The 16,775-nt window shown below is 35.4% G+C and overlaps 1 long non-coding RNA gene across 1 annotated transcript in view; it reads right to left on the bottom strand.

The window, feature by feature from the left end:
- The window catches only part of LINC02516 (long intergenic non-protein coding RNA 2516), a 58,493-nt gene extending 43,643 nt beyond the window's left edge, over nt 1-14,850 (bottom strand). Inside the window, exons 1-3 of the long non-coding RNA NR_110838.1 lie at nt 14,796-14,850; nt 12,852-12,926; nt 83-126 (exon numbers count right to left, since the gene is read on the bottom strand). This is a non-coding gene — a long non-coding RNA (long intergenic non-protein coding RNA 2516). The remainder of the gene's footprint in view (nt 1-82; nt 127-12,851; nt 12,927-14,795) is intronic.
- Nucleotides 14,851-16,775: the final 1,925 nt, after the last annotated feature.

Raw genomic sequence — 16,775 nt, forward strand, 5'->3', positions numbered from 1 at the left:
GCTACCATGTACCAGGTATTGTTTTAAGTGATTCACATACAACTGCTACTATTAGTAAGTAGGTACTACTGATATTTCTTACCTTAAGAATTAGAGAGCTGAGTCCGAGAAAGATTGCATAATGACCTAAGGTTTTAGAGGAAGGAAAATGTCAGGATTATAAAATATGATTATAATTATACACCTTATGGATAATCTTTCTGTAGTACAAATTTCTGCTACTATAATGGGATCCAGACTATAATAGATTTTTTGTTTTTACATTAAATTATGCATGATCTAGAAATTCAAACAGAAATTAATAGTTCCTATATTGTAATGGCTTCACAGTACCCCAAAACAGAAATGTCACTGCTTTTTACTCTTGGCAGACTTCTTGTCATCAAGAACTTAGAATTTCTTTTGTTTGGTTTAAATCATCAGGGTATGATCCATGCGGGTTCTTCAAGACATGCTCAGCTACTAAAACCTATCAGTCTGCAGACTGTTTCCAAGAAGATATTTTACAGGTAAATGTAAAACCTCATCGCTTTGTCAATCTTATGAACTCTTGCAGAATTCTGTTTTACACAGCCCTCTCACCTGACTGACTTTTCTACTTAATCCTTGCTGGAACAGAGTTGAGCCATCACTCAGTCAGAGATAACACTGCACTTCTAGCAGCCTCCCAGACCCTAATCTAATTTTCTGTCACCCTTTGAATCTCTAATAGGACTATTTTATTAGGCATCTCTCTTTCAAACTTTTGACTCAGTCTGGACAGACTCTCTTCAGGAGCTGCTCTTGATTTTCAAATTTTTGCTGACATTGTAATGGTTATAAAAAAGAAGCCTCTTACTATGTACTACAGTGCTTTAACCTTAATAAAAACAGACTGATTTCTGAAATCTAGGTTTCCATTTCAATATACCATCCTCCAGAAAATGGAGTTGCCAGTAAAACTAGATAAGCTAAATATCTTTGGTCATATGTAGACAGTGTTCATGTCGAGCAAGCTTTCTCGCCCTCTGTTTTTTATGTAAATACAATATTTAAATAGTCATTAAATTTTCTTAATGTGGGGAGGTAAGCCTATGACTGTGGTAGGAGTTTCTCAGGAACATCTAGACTTTAAGCAAAGCAGTTGATGTAAATAAATCAATTTTCAAACTTATGCAATATTTATTATGCCTAAAATCTGATCATTTATGGGGAAATTATTGGCTCATGTATTATCTCTTTTCTTTTAAATCATAGTGAGGAACTTTTTATTTCCATTTCTTGATCTTTGCCCTGTATTAGTTAATATGATAAGATTATTGGGGAATTCAATGATAGTATTAAGTAGTGACTAAAATATTGCACATATGAAAACCTAGGATTAAAGTTTAGATATGCTGTCCTCCAGTTTAGTTAAAGCTATTTTCTCACCTCTGCCCTTTTACAAGGCATACATTACTGTTACATGTGAAGGTTCTATAGGATAGTAGACTGGGAGCCCAAGAGTCAATTAAAATAATCTGAAATTGGATACCAGGAGTGTGAAATCTGGAAAAACTGCAGTTAAAAATTTTTCTGTTTCTTTGTTTTTTGAATAAAATTAAATTTGAAGCTAGAAAATATAATTACTATCAACAGTTAATACACAGCAAATTAGAAAATGTTACAAGAAGAGTTAGCACACGAGCAGTGTGAAATAATTATTTCTAGGGCCATCTGTAAACCTAAGAATTCAGGCATTCATAAAAGGAAACAATAATGAATTGAACTTCATCACAATTAAGAATTTTGTTCTTCGAAAGACCTTGTTAAGACAATGATAAAGAAAAGCCACAGGCTGAAAGAAAATAGATGTCAATCAATATTTCTGATGAAGTATTTATATCCAGAATATATACAGAACTCTCAAATCTCAATAATAACAAAAAATTGTATAAAAATGAGCATAACATCTGAAAGGCACTTTACCAGATAATTTATGTCAATGGCAAATAACCATATGAAATAATGTTCAACGTTATCAGTCATTAGGGAAATGCAGATAAAAGCCACAATGACAAATGATTGTACACCTATGAAAACTACTTTTAAAAATGAAGAGAAAGAAAGACATTGACATTACTAAGTGTACTGGGAAAAATGAAGAGCATTGCATTGCTTTTTGGGATGCAAAAGTTTAGCTAAGAGTTTGCCACTTTTAGCAAGGAGTTGCACAGTTTCTTTTAAAGTTAAACATGCCATTATCATATTACCTAGTAATTCTATTCTTGAATATTTACAGTACAGTCAAAACTTATGTTCACATGAAAATCTGTATGTGAATGTTATAGCAGTTTTATTTGTAATTGCCCAAAGTGAGAACATCCTAAATATCCTTCAACTGGTGAATGAATAAACTGTGCTGCATCCATATAATGTGACACTGCTCAGCAGTAAAAAAGAACAAACTATTAATACTTGAAACAATACGGATGGATCCCAAATGCATTATACGAAAGAAAGAAGCCAGACTCAAAAGGCCACGTGTTATATAATTACATCTACACGACATTCTGGGAAAGGCAAAGCTATGTAGACATAAAAAGGATCAGTGGGTAAAGAAGCAAGAGGGAATTTATGGAGTGAATAGAATTTTTAATATCTTGATTTTAGTGATGAATGCATGGCTGTATGTGATTATTAAAAATCAGGGAACTGTATGCTAAAAAAGGGTAAATTTTGTTGTATATAAATTACACCTCAATTTTAAAAAACAGAAGAAACCTGAGTCACAATTACCACACTCTAATGCAGAGAACAATCTAAACAAATCTAATAGTACTTTTTAAAAATTATCAAAATCTATTGTTCCATGGTCTTCTGTTATATAAAACTAGAAAACGTAGAAAACTAGTTTAGAGGCCGGGCGCAGTGGCTCACGCCTGTAATCCTAGCACTTTGGGAGGCTGAGGCGGGCGGATCACGAGGTCAGGAGATTGAGACCATCCTGGCTAACACGGTGAAACCCTGTTTCTACTAAAAAACACAACAAATTAGCCGGGCGTGGTGGCGGGCGCCTGCAGTCCCAGCTACTCTGGAGGCTGAGGCAGGAGAATGGTGTGAACCCGGGAGGTGGAGCTTGCAATGAGCCGAGATCGCGCCACTGCACTCCAGCCTGGGCGACAGAGTGAGACTCCGTCTCAAAAAAAAAAAAAAAAAAAGGAAAAGTAGTTTAGAAAACTAAACTAAAACCTTGGTCCGTTTTAAGGTTCTGGGATAAAAGCTGTTCACCTGCCTTAAACACCATGAATAAAATTGTAAATACAATAATAAATATTAAATTAACTTCTGATCAAACATAACTTTTTCAGAAAAACAACTGTTTTCAAAGATTTACCTTTAAAGGTAAGTGTTCCTTGACTGGAAGTATTTACAGTGAGGTCAGATGACTCCCAGTTGGAATCCTTTTCAGCAACCTATAATCTTGTACTAGCATGTAAGTTCCCCTCCATACTTTTTCAAAATGGTCCAAGCAAATGTTTATATCAGTCTGATGTTCAAAGAGTTTAATTAGAAGTAAAAAACGTAAGTTGGCCTATACCAATGAAATCTGCATTCTTTATTGTGCTGCTTATTATTCCACTGTGTTATAAAAAGATCATAAAATAAGACTGCTATAATTTCTTTTTTAAAAATGAGAATATAGGCATACAGAACTTCAATTGTAGGGGGAGACAATGGAGAAATTAAAAGAAAATTTTAGATTAAACCTTCACCAAATCTTTACATCTCTTTTCTATCTGGCACAAAAGTAGTTTTAACCACTATTTTCATTTTTAACTTTTTTTTAATCAAGTATTCTGGTGTTGTACAGATACAATATAATTCAAAAAATAACAGGACATTTTAGATAAGACAGGGATGCTTACTGCGACTCCACTTATCTGTATAATCAAGATAAATTTCTCATAAAGACAGGTTGAGAAATTATGCTATAGAAACAGGAAATTGGTTTATAACCTTTGTTTATTCTTTATTTATAATAAAAAAACAAAAATATATAAGGTATGAGTCACAGGTTTATCCATTATCCATTAAAAATTGGAACAATTATGTGAAAGGTACTGGTTGAATAGCCATAAGAAAGCTGAGCCTGACAGCTCTTTATTTAGGAACAAATAGATATTTTATGATTTACAAGAGAAATCTCTTTCTCTCTCTGTCTCTCTCTCTCTCTCTCTCTCACACACACACACACACACACACACAAACACACACTCCTTACATACAACTTTTTAAAGTTAAATTATGATTATAATAAAGTACATTGAATTTTTCTTTCAATGTTTGTTTCCAGATTTGAAGTAGCACAAAATAACATCTATGCTTAGGCCTGCTAGCTTTAGAAGGAAAAAAGGTTCATTCACAAGACATATATTTCAGAAAGACAGAATAAACAGGGCCTATAAGTACATGGGCAGTGATAGATATTGGAGCTGCATAGGAGCTGGGACACTACCAAGAATGCATGAAAAACCTTGTGTGATTTATCTGTCAGTTAGAGAAATAGTGTATCATTGCTAGTTTGAATGTTCACCCCCTACAAATCTCATGTTGAAATTTAATCCTCATTGTGACAGTGTTGAGAAGTGGGGTGTAGTGGGAGGTGTTTGTGTCATGGGTGCAGATCCTACATGAATAGATTTATGCCCTCCCTGGACGAGGGGGTGAGTGAATTATGAATATTTTAGTTCCTATGGGAGTTGGTTGTTTAAAAATAATAATAAAAAAAGCCTGGCACTTCCCTCTCTCTCTTGCTTCCTCTCTTACCATGTGATCTCTGCACAGCTCCCCTTTTCCTTTCACCATTTGTGGAAGCAGCCTGAAGCTTTCACCAGTGCCCTATCTTCTTCATAAATTACCCAGCCTCAGTTATTCATTTATAGCAACACTAAATGAACTAAGACAACCATCTAGCCAGAGACTTCAAATAACCAAGTAGAATTAAGCAAAACAACTGAAACCATGTACTACAAACATGGTAGTAAAGCTAGTTTAAACCTTTATGTGTATATATACACACACAGTGTGTGTGTGTGTATATATATATATATATATAATATATATATGCCTAAAATATCTCACTGCTGATAGTTTTTCTTCAACAGCCAATTAACAACTTGTTAAAAAAATCAGAATAAAGTAGTTTTGTTTTAATCTGAAGGGATTTCTAGCTTTTTTCTATCAATTTTTAAAACAATATAAGAAAAATAAAAGTATCCTATCATTCTTGTTACTGTACCAGCCCCTATGCAACTCCATTATCTATCACTGCCTAAAGAATGACAGGTTATATGGAAAATAACCTGAATGGGATAGGGATTGGCATTTATTTGTTTTTTGCTTTCTCCGAAGCAAATCCTATAAGCAATAGATTATTAATAAGAGAATTTGCATGGTCATTGGTACCAAGAAATTTTTGGGTTTCATTGGTCACCAGGCATGTATTCCTCTCAGAAGCAGAATTATTCCTATAATTTTATCTTTTTTTCCCTTGATCAACTGCATATTTTCAGTCTTTCTTGTAATTTCCACTGCAATAAAGATAGAAGAAATTGAGAGGCTATTCTTTCTGATCCACAACAGTGAGGATTTAGTATTTCAAAAGCCCAGAGGCATTTGCCAACACTCTTGGATACCTAACGGAGATAGTAATCTTTTTATTTTTTGGCTGAAATTATATTTACTGAGTGAGGGTGGTTGTCATAATGATAGAAGACTAGATTGATAGTAAAAAGATTTGTCTTTGAAAAAGAAAAATGAGGAAACAAAGTTTAATCAAATAAGGCATTTTATTAGGTAGACCAGATTCTTCAACATATGGAGTACATGTGGGAAAACATAATAATAAAAAGGTCATTGATGGTAAAAAGTTTGGGAACTATATACTAAACTGTCTTCTCTTCCCAAATGTTGAGAATGTTTTTAATGTTGAATGGGGGGAGTTAAGAAAGAAAATGTCAAAAATCTCCATCTTCTTTATTTCAACAGGTTTATATAAAACTGTAGCCTGTAGGAATTATTTGTAAAAATGTGTATTAAATTGTTAAATAAAATGTGGCAAAGTTAGCAAAGGGCTTAATTGTTCTAACTATTTTCAAAGCTTTTGGGTAAAAATTGGGTGGTTCAATTGTATGTATGGTATGCATTGTGCCATTTTGTAAGATTCACATAGGTCAGGAATGTCGTTAATCAACTTACCTAAAATGCTTATTTTAAATGCAAATATAAGAGCATTTAACTCAGATACAGAATTACTGAAATTATACAACTTGTATTTAGTAGCTCATACATGCATATGTATTTTGTTTTTACCAGGAGAGTACAAATGCTGCACAAAACTTACTGTTTTTATTTCATTTCTTGATATGTGCATATTCTACATATTCTATCAACACTCTTGACCTTTGGCTTACTAACGAATAAAAATAGATTTAAAAAAAATGGAACTATGGGCTGCCTATGTTTCTCTTTCCTTCTAAGTCACATTTTCAAGGCAGTGTTGGCTAACACAATGAAGTAACAGGAATAAAAAAGAATATAAGATTTCTTGGTTGATTGTGTTTCTTGGTATGTCATTGTCTGCTTTCTGTATTTCAAGCAAATTAAAACTTTTTATATTTTAGTTAGTCTTTTCATATTTTCCATTTATCTTTTCAATACATTTAATTTTTTCTACCTCCTTAACCATATGGAATATAATCATAATAACTGTTTTAACCTACTTGTCTACTTTTTCTATCATTTGCATCATTTCTGAGTCATTTTTTGTTAGACTTTCTGTTCTTTATAGGTTATATTTCCCTGATTCTTTGCATGCTGGGTAATTTTTATATTAAATACCAGATACTGTGAATTTCATTTGTTTTGGCTCTATAATATTTTTGTATTCTTATGAATATTTTTGTATTTCTTGAGCTTTGTGCTAGATCACATGTGTTTTAAAAGTTGGATCCCTTTGAGCCTTGCTTTTAAGCTCTATTAGGCAGGACAAGAGCTGCATTTATTTTAAGGTTTTCCTACTACTGAGCCAAGACCCTTCTTTGTACTCTTAATGGATACCTGTGAATTTTAAGGCATTTTTATTCTAGCTGTCAGGAGAAATCACTATTCTTGGTCCTGTTTGAGCTATGGCTACTTTTCCTGAAAATTATTTTGGGTGGCTCTTTGTTTGGCCTCAGATAGTTTTCTCACCTGCATGGGTTGATGACTATTAAACTGAATACTCAAGGGGGACCCTCTGCAGATCTCTGAGGTTTTCTCTTCATGTCCTCTCTCTTGTCTGGTATTCTATAAACTCTAGGCACATGGAAATTCCTACTTATCTCTACTGGCTTTTCCCTCTCTACCCTATGGCTTGGAAACTTTCTCTAGGCAGTAAGCTGGGACAGTAATAGGACTTACGTCATTTGTGTTCCAACTCTGAAATATCACTGCCCTTCTTTTATAATATCTAATGTCTTAAGTACTGTTGTTTCATATGTGTTGTCTGGTATTTTAGTTACCTCAAGCAGAAGGGTAAATCAAATCCCTGCTACTCCATCTTAATTGGAAGCAGAAGTAAGGCAATCTTGACTCTAATCTATAGATCAATTTTTGTTGTTTCTTAATTTTCTAATAAATATATATGAGAATTTGAAATTATATTTATCATGTCTTAAGCTTGCCAGAATTAACTGGCATGTACATTATAAAATTTTATGATTATTATTTCCACTCTTGTGGAAATAATAGTCTTGTTCTTACTTGTTGAAAGTCCCCTAAAGTCTTATTATTCAGAATGGTAGGCTGACTAAAAGCATTGGTATCACTAGAGAGTGCATTTGAATTTCAGAGGTAAGGCAGAATCTCAGGCTCCACCCAGACCTACTGTCTTAGTCAGTTTGTGCTGCTATATCAAAATACCACAGACTGAGTACATTATAAAAACTAGAACTTTTTTTTTTCATGGTTCTGGAGGCTGGGAAGTCCAAGATCAAGGATGTGGCAGAATGGGTGTCTAGTGAAGGCTGTTCTCGGCTTCCAAAATGGCAACTTGTTGCTGCATTCTCCAGAAGGTAGAAACATTGTGTCGTTCTGTCACCCAGGCTGGAGTGCTGTGGCAGGATCTCGGCTCACTGCAAGCTCCACCTCCCAGGTTCAAGTCATTCTCCTGCCTCAGCCTCCTGAGTAGCTGGGACTACAGGCGCCCGCCACCATGCCTGGCTAATTTTTTGTATTTTTTAGTAGAGACAGGGTTTCACCGTGTTAGTCAGGATGGTCTTGATCTCCTGACCTCGTGATCTGCCCACCTCGGCCTCCCAAAGTGCTGGGATTACAGGCGTGAGCCACCACACCTGGCCAATTAAGTGTTTTTATAATCAGTTAATCTAATTCATGAGGGTGGGACCCTTATAACTCAATTATCTCCTGATGGCCATAGCTCTTAATGTTGCTGCACTAGAGATTTAGTTTCAACATAAATTTCAAAGAGGGCAAAACATTTGAATCATTGCACCTACTGAATAAAAATCTTCATTTCAACAAATCCCCAAGTTAAACATGTAAATTTTAAAAAGCAGTGCACTATGAGGCACCTGTTAAGAAGGAACCTCCATCTCATTTTTAGTTTCCTAGTGGGAAATCTTAGTCAAGGTTAAGGATCTTAACCTTGTTTGTACATCAGGACATTCCTCTTGGTAATATAGCCATTATGCATTTGCATCCCTGCTCTGTCAATTTCTAGATGTGTGAATTTGGATATGATAGTTTTTAGTCTGTTTTTTCATCCACAAAGTAGAACTAATGCCACCTACTTTATAGGAATGTTTTAAAAGTAAAATTAAATATTACATTTAGTATCTGGTACATGATAACTTCTAAACAAATGGTAATTATGAATATTATTGGATTATTAGGCTGTAAGTTTCTGGAAGGAGAGAGTCATATCAAGTTTCTTTGCATTCCCCTCAAACCTAAAAGAGTAGATACTTAATAAAGGTTGGCTGATTGATTGATTGCAATGACATTTGAGTAATTCTCCAGGTAATTAAGAAATGAAATTGAAGTTAATAAACTACCTCAAATGAGTAGATTATATGACTCATTGAGCAGTCATAATCATTGAAGGAGAAAATAGACCCTCTCTACTTCATTCATGTTTAAGAGCAGAGTATGCTAAACCCATTGATTTTCAATGTTCATCAAGAGAATTTCACATAAAGTTAGTTTCACCTACTTCTTATTCCATCTTAATCAACAAAGATACTGCCTTACTAAGATATCTTTATTACATACTCCTGCCAAGGTCTAATTGAAGGTGCAATGGTCCCCATTGTAGTGCTGCAATGCACTTTAATTATATTCTTCAAAATGATATTTTTTGGAGAGATAACAACTCAAATAAGGAAAAAAGGAAATTTCAGCCCAATGCATCATTATTCAGTGTGTTGTTCTTTAAATACAAAGATATGATTGCCTTGCAATTTCCAGGACACCAATTTTAAGATATTGTTTCTACATATCCTCCTCCGCCTAATTTTGATAAAATATTGGAGCTAATCTACCAATGCTCTTTCCAATTATTTCTCTTTTAAAATATAGAGGAATAATTTTTGAAAAATTATGGAATGCTCCATAAGCCTCAGTTTCTAAACCCAGTGGACTAAAATAATGATTACAACAAAATTAAGAGAATAATCTAGCAAATGAACATTTTATGTCAGAAATGAAAAATTTTAACATTACTCAAAAGCAATTAAAAAATAATATGCCAGAAGTATCAAAATAATTTTTAAAATTAACCTACTCTTTAATGTTGTATTCTAAATGTAAACACCATTATTAAATTATTTTAAGGTTATAATGTACTGGTTTATTTGAAATAGAGAAAAACATTGTATCATTGTATCTTCTAATTAATACTAGGAATTTTTTTCTTTCATTTGAGAGTTTATTACCTTTGAGAAAGGAAGATAAAATCTAGATATAAAATGTATGATCTTTAAAAGAAACAATTGGTAATTAACAACTAACAAGTTTTTATATGAAAATATACTCTTCCATAAATATGAACATCATGTGACCCAGATGATTTAAGTGAATAAGATTTTAGAGAAACAAATAAGATACCTTTGGGGTATAGGTTAGTGGTTAAAAGCATGGGCACAGAAGTCAGACTTTCCAATCTTAATTCTAATGCCTTTACCAACAACTTCTGGCACTTTTGGAATTAAAAAAAAATCTTCCGTTCCTTAGTTTATTCATTTGTGAAAATGAAGACAATGACAATAATGCTTTTCTCACTTTGTTGTTATAATCACTAATGGATTGCTATTTGAAAAGAATGTTGAGCAACGACAAGAACATAGCACACACAAGATAAATATTACTAGTAAATGCTATCATTACCAAACATAATATTCTCCCTATACTGAAAAAGACCACTTTGATTTTATAAGAATGTACTTACGTTCCTCATGATAATATCAATGGAATACTCCAATTGATAGATAAATAGTCTTAAATCTCAATAAAATTTCAGAATATTTAATAGTGTGATTAGGAATGTAAAAAGAGTCATTCTGAAGGTGGGCAACTTGGATAATGATTAAAGGCACAGGTTTTAGAGTCTGACAGACTGAGTATGAAATACGGCTCTGCTATGCATTAGCAGGATAGCTTAGGTCAATCTCTACTTAATTTATATAAGCCTCCATTTCCAAATCCAGAAAATGAGAGTATGGGTAATTATCTCACAGAACTATTATAAAAGCTAAATGATTGAAATTTAGGTTTTCAGTTACATAAAAACCAGCAAGTATTTATGTCTTAGTCTATTTGGGCTACTATAAGACAATATCATATACTGGATGGTTTATAAATAATAGAAATTTACTTCTCACAGTTCTGAAGGCTGGGAAATCCAAAATCAAGGGGCCAGAAGATTTGATGTGAAGTGAGAGCCTGCTTCCTCAAAGATAGTCTTCTTCTACTGTAACTTCACATGGCATAAGGGGCAAAGGATCTTTTTGGGATCCCTCTGGAATCTCTTTTATAAGGGTATTAATCTCATTTCCTCATGATCTAATCGCTTCCCAAAGCCTTAGTACCATCACTTTGCAGGATAGAATTTCAACAGAAGAACTGGTGCTGGGGGACACAAACATTCAGATTATAGTAACTTAATTATAATCTACTGCATTTATAATATCAATTCTTGTTGGATTTGGTCTCTGCCATCAAATATTTTTACTCATATTGTATCAAGAAAATAATAATTCTAATTGGGCACAGTGATGCACATCTGTAGTCCCAGCTACTCGAGAGGCTGAGGGGAAAGGATCACTTGAGCCCAGGAGTTCGAGATCAGCCTGGGCAATATAGCAACACCCTCATTGAAAAAAAAAAAAAAAAAAAAAAGATATATAACCTAAAAAAAGCCATAGAGGCAAGTAATCTCTGTATAATACTATTAAATAAATCAATGGTACAGCTACAAATGATAGTCATTTAGAAACATCATTCATTTGGGCCTCAAAGGTTTTGATCTTGTCCATTACTTTCCCTCCAATTTTCCAGGTACTCCTTTAGCCTTCACTGGGAAAAGGGAAAAGTATTTAAAAACATGTAAATAAGAGAAAATCATCTGTAGCCTAGATTAGTTTTTCCAGTCATCCTTCTACCTTATTGAAAGGTAAGTTCCTAACTACAAATAAGACTTTTATATTACATAAAGTGTCTGTATTAAAAACTAAAAAATCTATCTTATTATAGACTTTATAACATACATTGACAGATTTTATAACAAAGAAAAATCTTTGAGGGAGGGTTTGGAAACGTGAACACCTGAATGCAGATGCCTTTCCCGATTCATTTACACTTCCTAAGTAAAATTGCTGCTAGGGCCTATATACTGCTGAGAAGTATGAGGCCGACATTGGAAAAGTTCTCCAGATGATACTAATAACTAATATGATGCTTTCTTTTCTATGGACTGGTTGAGAGCCCAGAAACCAGTTTTTGAGGGATCCCAGACAAATAGCAGAAAGCAGAGCATCCTGGGGAAAAGTCCAATCTTTTCTGTCTTTTGGGCTGAGAAAATCTCAGGTGTCTGTGGAGCAGTACCTAGCCATGGCACTGGCAAATGTCCTGTGCATATACTGCCAGACCACAAGAGAGTGTTTCAGCTGCCATCGGGACTTGTGCCATTTAGCATCTTCCAACAACCAGCTTTCATACCCAGTGAGCTAACAAAGGAAAATAGCAGTCATTTAAGAACCTCCAGCAAACTGAATGATCAGTCAGTGTCTCAGTTAGGGTCCAATTAGGAGACAGAAGCCATAACAATTATTTTAACAGAGAAAATTCAAGATAAAAAATAATTAAGCAATGTTATTTAGGTAACTGAAAGGTCAGAAAGAGAACTCTGAGTTTTCGTGGAGGTAGCAACTATACAGCGAAGTTACCCCGCAAGGCGAAGGGAACCAGGGAAAGAGTTTAGACATACTGAAACTTGGAGAAGACGCCCCACAGAGCTGACATTCAGACCTTTGAGGAAGTGGCTCAGTTTGGCTGGGGATGGCATCTCTGAGCTGGAGGAAGATGTGCCATTGGGGGCTGGGACCCAGACTTCTGAGGAGGGTCTGTCAGTTAGTTGGTGCTGCGGTATCTGCCGTATTAGGATAAAGCTGGTGTTTTCAGAGCTGGAAACACTGCAAACAGGATTTAACCACTGTTATGGGTCAACACATCTGCTACTAGCATGAAGACGCATTGCTAGGGTGATACAGAAAAAAGAGACTGTCAGGAAGTAACAGAAAGCCAATAGGATGAAAACAGAAAATAGTAAGTACCTTCTTACTCCTCTTGCCTTGCCTTGCTTTGCACTCTCTCTCTCTCTCTGTCTCTGTGTGTGTGTGTCTCGTCCCCTATTGACAAAGCATAAGGAGAAGCAACTGACAACGCTGAAATGAAATTAGCCAAGTCGCAGTTTCAACATCACAAATTCTAGTATAGATGGGTACAGTTTGGGAGCTGAAATGCAATAACTTAATTGGCTGCCATAGGAAAAAAAAAACAACCATGCAAAAATAGAGCAGCTGAGAGAGGCAAGTGGAAGTGGAAAATACAGGAAAAAATAGTGATTCAAAAGCAGAATAAAATAATCATTCTATAGGTTTAAAAAAATAATTAAACATGATTTTCTAAACAAACCAGACAACATGAAAGAGTAATTACCACTGAAATCTAAATGAATGGCATGGAAAATCAAGTAACATAAATACCAAAAAGAAAAGGACAAAATGTAAATTGAAGTAATGACCAAAAAAAATGTAAGAAATGTAGAACAAAGATCCAAGAGAGCTAAAGCGAGTAATAGGAATTCCAGAAGTAAAATGAACAAATGGAGGATTAATTGAATAAATACAGAAGAATATTTATTTGAGCTGAAGACCTCAATCCACGGTTTAAGTTTTCACTGACTTCCAGGATACACTGAGAGTAAAACCTGGGTATAAAAGTGCTCAAGCTAAAATGAGAAATCTTACAAGTCTCCAGGCATACAGAAAAAGTACCATCAAGAGAAAAATAATTGGCCTGGCATCCAAATGCATGTCCAAAACAACAGCCAGAAGCTAGCAGAGAGTAAAAGTCTGTTAGCTAATTATGGAGAAAAAAAAACTGATTAATAAAAATCAAATTATTGAGAAGTAAATACAAACTCAATTACCATGATAAAGATGGAATGAATATATACAATTTTCAACACCAAGCAAGTAAACAAAATAGAGGGTTGTTGAACATGAAACTATTTTAGCCAATGTGGATTTTCACAGACTGGTTGGAATCCCATTTCTCCTGATAAGATAAGCAATAAGAGAAAATTTAAGAAGGAGGAAAATGTACACACTTCACACTGGAAAGGCTAGTGTATATATCCTTAGTGTCTTCAATATACTGACTGTCACAACATTTTTAAAGAAAATTCTGAAATCTAAGTAAATTAATAAGTTTATCTGATGCAGAAAAAATCATTTTAAGAAAAGCAGAACTCAGAAACTAACAAAAATGTAGGCAAACATTTACATATAAAAAATGGAAAACAGAATGCATAGAGAGCCCATATTTGTATGCGAAACTATCTATAAAGGCCATTTACAGAGAGCACTCTCAAACTTAACACATCAACATTAACCTCTAAATAAGCAAAATTTAATGGGCATAAAATGAAACTTAGCAAGTATGGTTCATTCAAGGTCTTTTAGGGAAAAAAATGGATCAACTGCATCATCTATTAGTTCCACTCAATTTACAAACAAAGTGGAAAGCAGAAATTGTAACTGCCAACCCATCCTAAAAAACAAATCTCTGGAATAAAAATGTATCATTTTTATATAGGACAATGATCTTGAATCTAGATCAAATGTCTTTCTATCAATGAAAATATAAATATAGAAAGCATGGGCAACACAGAAGAATTAGCCAAGCCATTTTTAAGAATGTGCCTAGGACTTATATTTCTACAAATTCAAGACCTCCACCCCCTGGGCCTTGCAATGAGTTGATGCTGAATAAATGCTGATGATAGTAGTGAATACTGTCAGAGGCATGTGAACCAGAGCAACTTTATCTTAAATAGGAGCTGGGTAAAATGAGGCTGAGACCTACTGGGCTGCATTCCCAGACAGTTAAGGCATTCTAAGTCACAGAATGAGATAGGAGGTCAACACAAGATACAGGTCATAAAAACCTTGCTGATCAACTAGATTGCAGTAAAGAAGCTGGCTAAAACCCACCAAAACCAAGAAGGTGACGAGAGTGACCTCTGCTCATCCTCACTGCTACTATCCCACCAGCAGAATGACAGTTTACAAATGCCATGGCAACATCAGGAAGTTATCCTGTATGGTCTAAAAGGGGGAGACGTGAATAATCCACCCTTTGTTTAGTATATCATCAATAAATAATTATAAAAATTGGCAACCAGCAGCCCTTGGCTGCTCTGTCTATGGAATAGACACTCTTTCATTCCTTTACTTTCTTAATAAATTTGCTTTCACTTTACTCTATGGACTACTCTGAATTATTTCTTGTGCAAGATCCAATAACCCTCTTTTGCAGTCTGCATTGGGACCCCTTTCCTGTAACATCTTTTTGGCAACCATGAAGGGACTATAGTGCAGAAGCCCCTGACCCAAATGCTAACTTTGGGTAAGTGGTGGGATCCAGTAACATCTTTCTGGCAAACCCTGAAGGGACAATACTGAGGAGACCTCTCTTCCCACACGAAATAGACTGCAGCACTGATTGGATGACTTTGGGTAAGTGGGGTGCACATATCTGGGTAAAGGATGAGATTGGGTTAGAGGCCCAACTTAGGGGAGTTAGAATCTCTCCTAGCACAGAGAGAGTTAAAGGCTCCTCTCAATAAAAGGCAAGGACACTTGACTGACCTTGGGTTAGAGGCCCAACTTAGGAGGACTAGAGTCCCTTCTAAGATTTAGGGGGTTAGAGACCCTTCTCAGTAAAGTGCCTCTTGGCTAAGAATGGGTTTGGCACCACAGTATGTTAACTGCTATTCTCTTTGGATTAAGCTGCCTTGCAGTCGTTGCTGACGGTAATGGGTAACATGATTAGGCATTTACAGGATCATGGGACATGGGGAGCTTTTTCCTGCCCCAAAAGAGGAAACTTGACAGCTGATGGGACTGCTTGAAGAAAATCTCTTCACGACAGCAGCCGCCTGAATTTTTCAGTGTCGCTGCAACATGGTTGGGTCATTCTCTGGCCTCCCTGAGCATTTTGCCTTCCCCACCCTGCCACAGGCAATGATTTTCTCTTTCTCCTTTCCGTTTTTTATCTTTTTTATTACTCAGGGCAGCCATCTTGCCCAGAGACCACATGTTGAAACTCCTGGTTGGAAGTTGGATTAATGATGATGTGGGGAAGTTTGAGCCTTGGCAGTTTTCAATTGGGTGCTAAGCAGAGTGGTTAATGTCTATGTCTTGCCACATGTATTTTACTCTGGCCAGAATGGAAAGAGGTAATTTTCCTTTGTGCTGTGGCTTGGCCCCCAAGGCTGTGGCGCAGCAAGCCAGGTCACTAGGGCCGCTCAGGGAAAGGGAACCCAGAAGCCTGGCATGACAGCAAAGGGTAAGAATTTCTTACCAGTCAGACTTCTGGTCTCTATCTCTCTCTTTCTCTGTCTCTCTCCATGTGTGTGTGTGTGTGTGTGTGTGTGTGTGTGTGTGTGTGTGTGTGTGTGAAAAGGATGAGGTTTCCCTCTGGTCAATCATGTCCTTGGGAGCTTGACCTTGTAACCATGTGATCATGCTTTCCCTTTTCGCAGTGGTGGCCTGGGTTTAGGGTCCAATTCCTGGCATAGGGAATGAATGAGTCCTTTATCTTCTGTCTATGTATTTATATGTATTATGTGTGTGTAATATAAAAGAGCTTTGTTTAATTGGTTTAATAATAATAAGTGCTGAAATCAAATATTTTGTCAGAAAAGTAAAAAGTGGAATGACTTTTAGTTCATGTGAGTTAAGTAGCCTTTGGGAAATAAAAACAGTTTTAAAGATTATTAGTAAAGTAAAGACATTTGGTCTAAATTAGGCAGGTCAAATATTAAGTTTACTAAATGCTTTAAGGTCATAAACTGCTTCTTTGTCTTTTGAAAATTGTTCAATTCTACCTTGGAGACATTAGATTCTAGATAAGGCCTGGGGACATAATGGAGTTAGCCATGCCCCCTAGCTGTGCTGGAGTCAGCCATA

This window comes from Homo sapiens, chromosome 4 (assembly GCF_000001405.40).
Source record: "Homo sapiens chromosome 4, GRCh38.p14 Primary Assembly".
Taxonomy (NCBI): domain Eukaryota; kingdom Metazoa; phylum Chordata; class Mammalia; order Primates; family Hominidae; genus Homo; species Homo sapiens.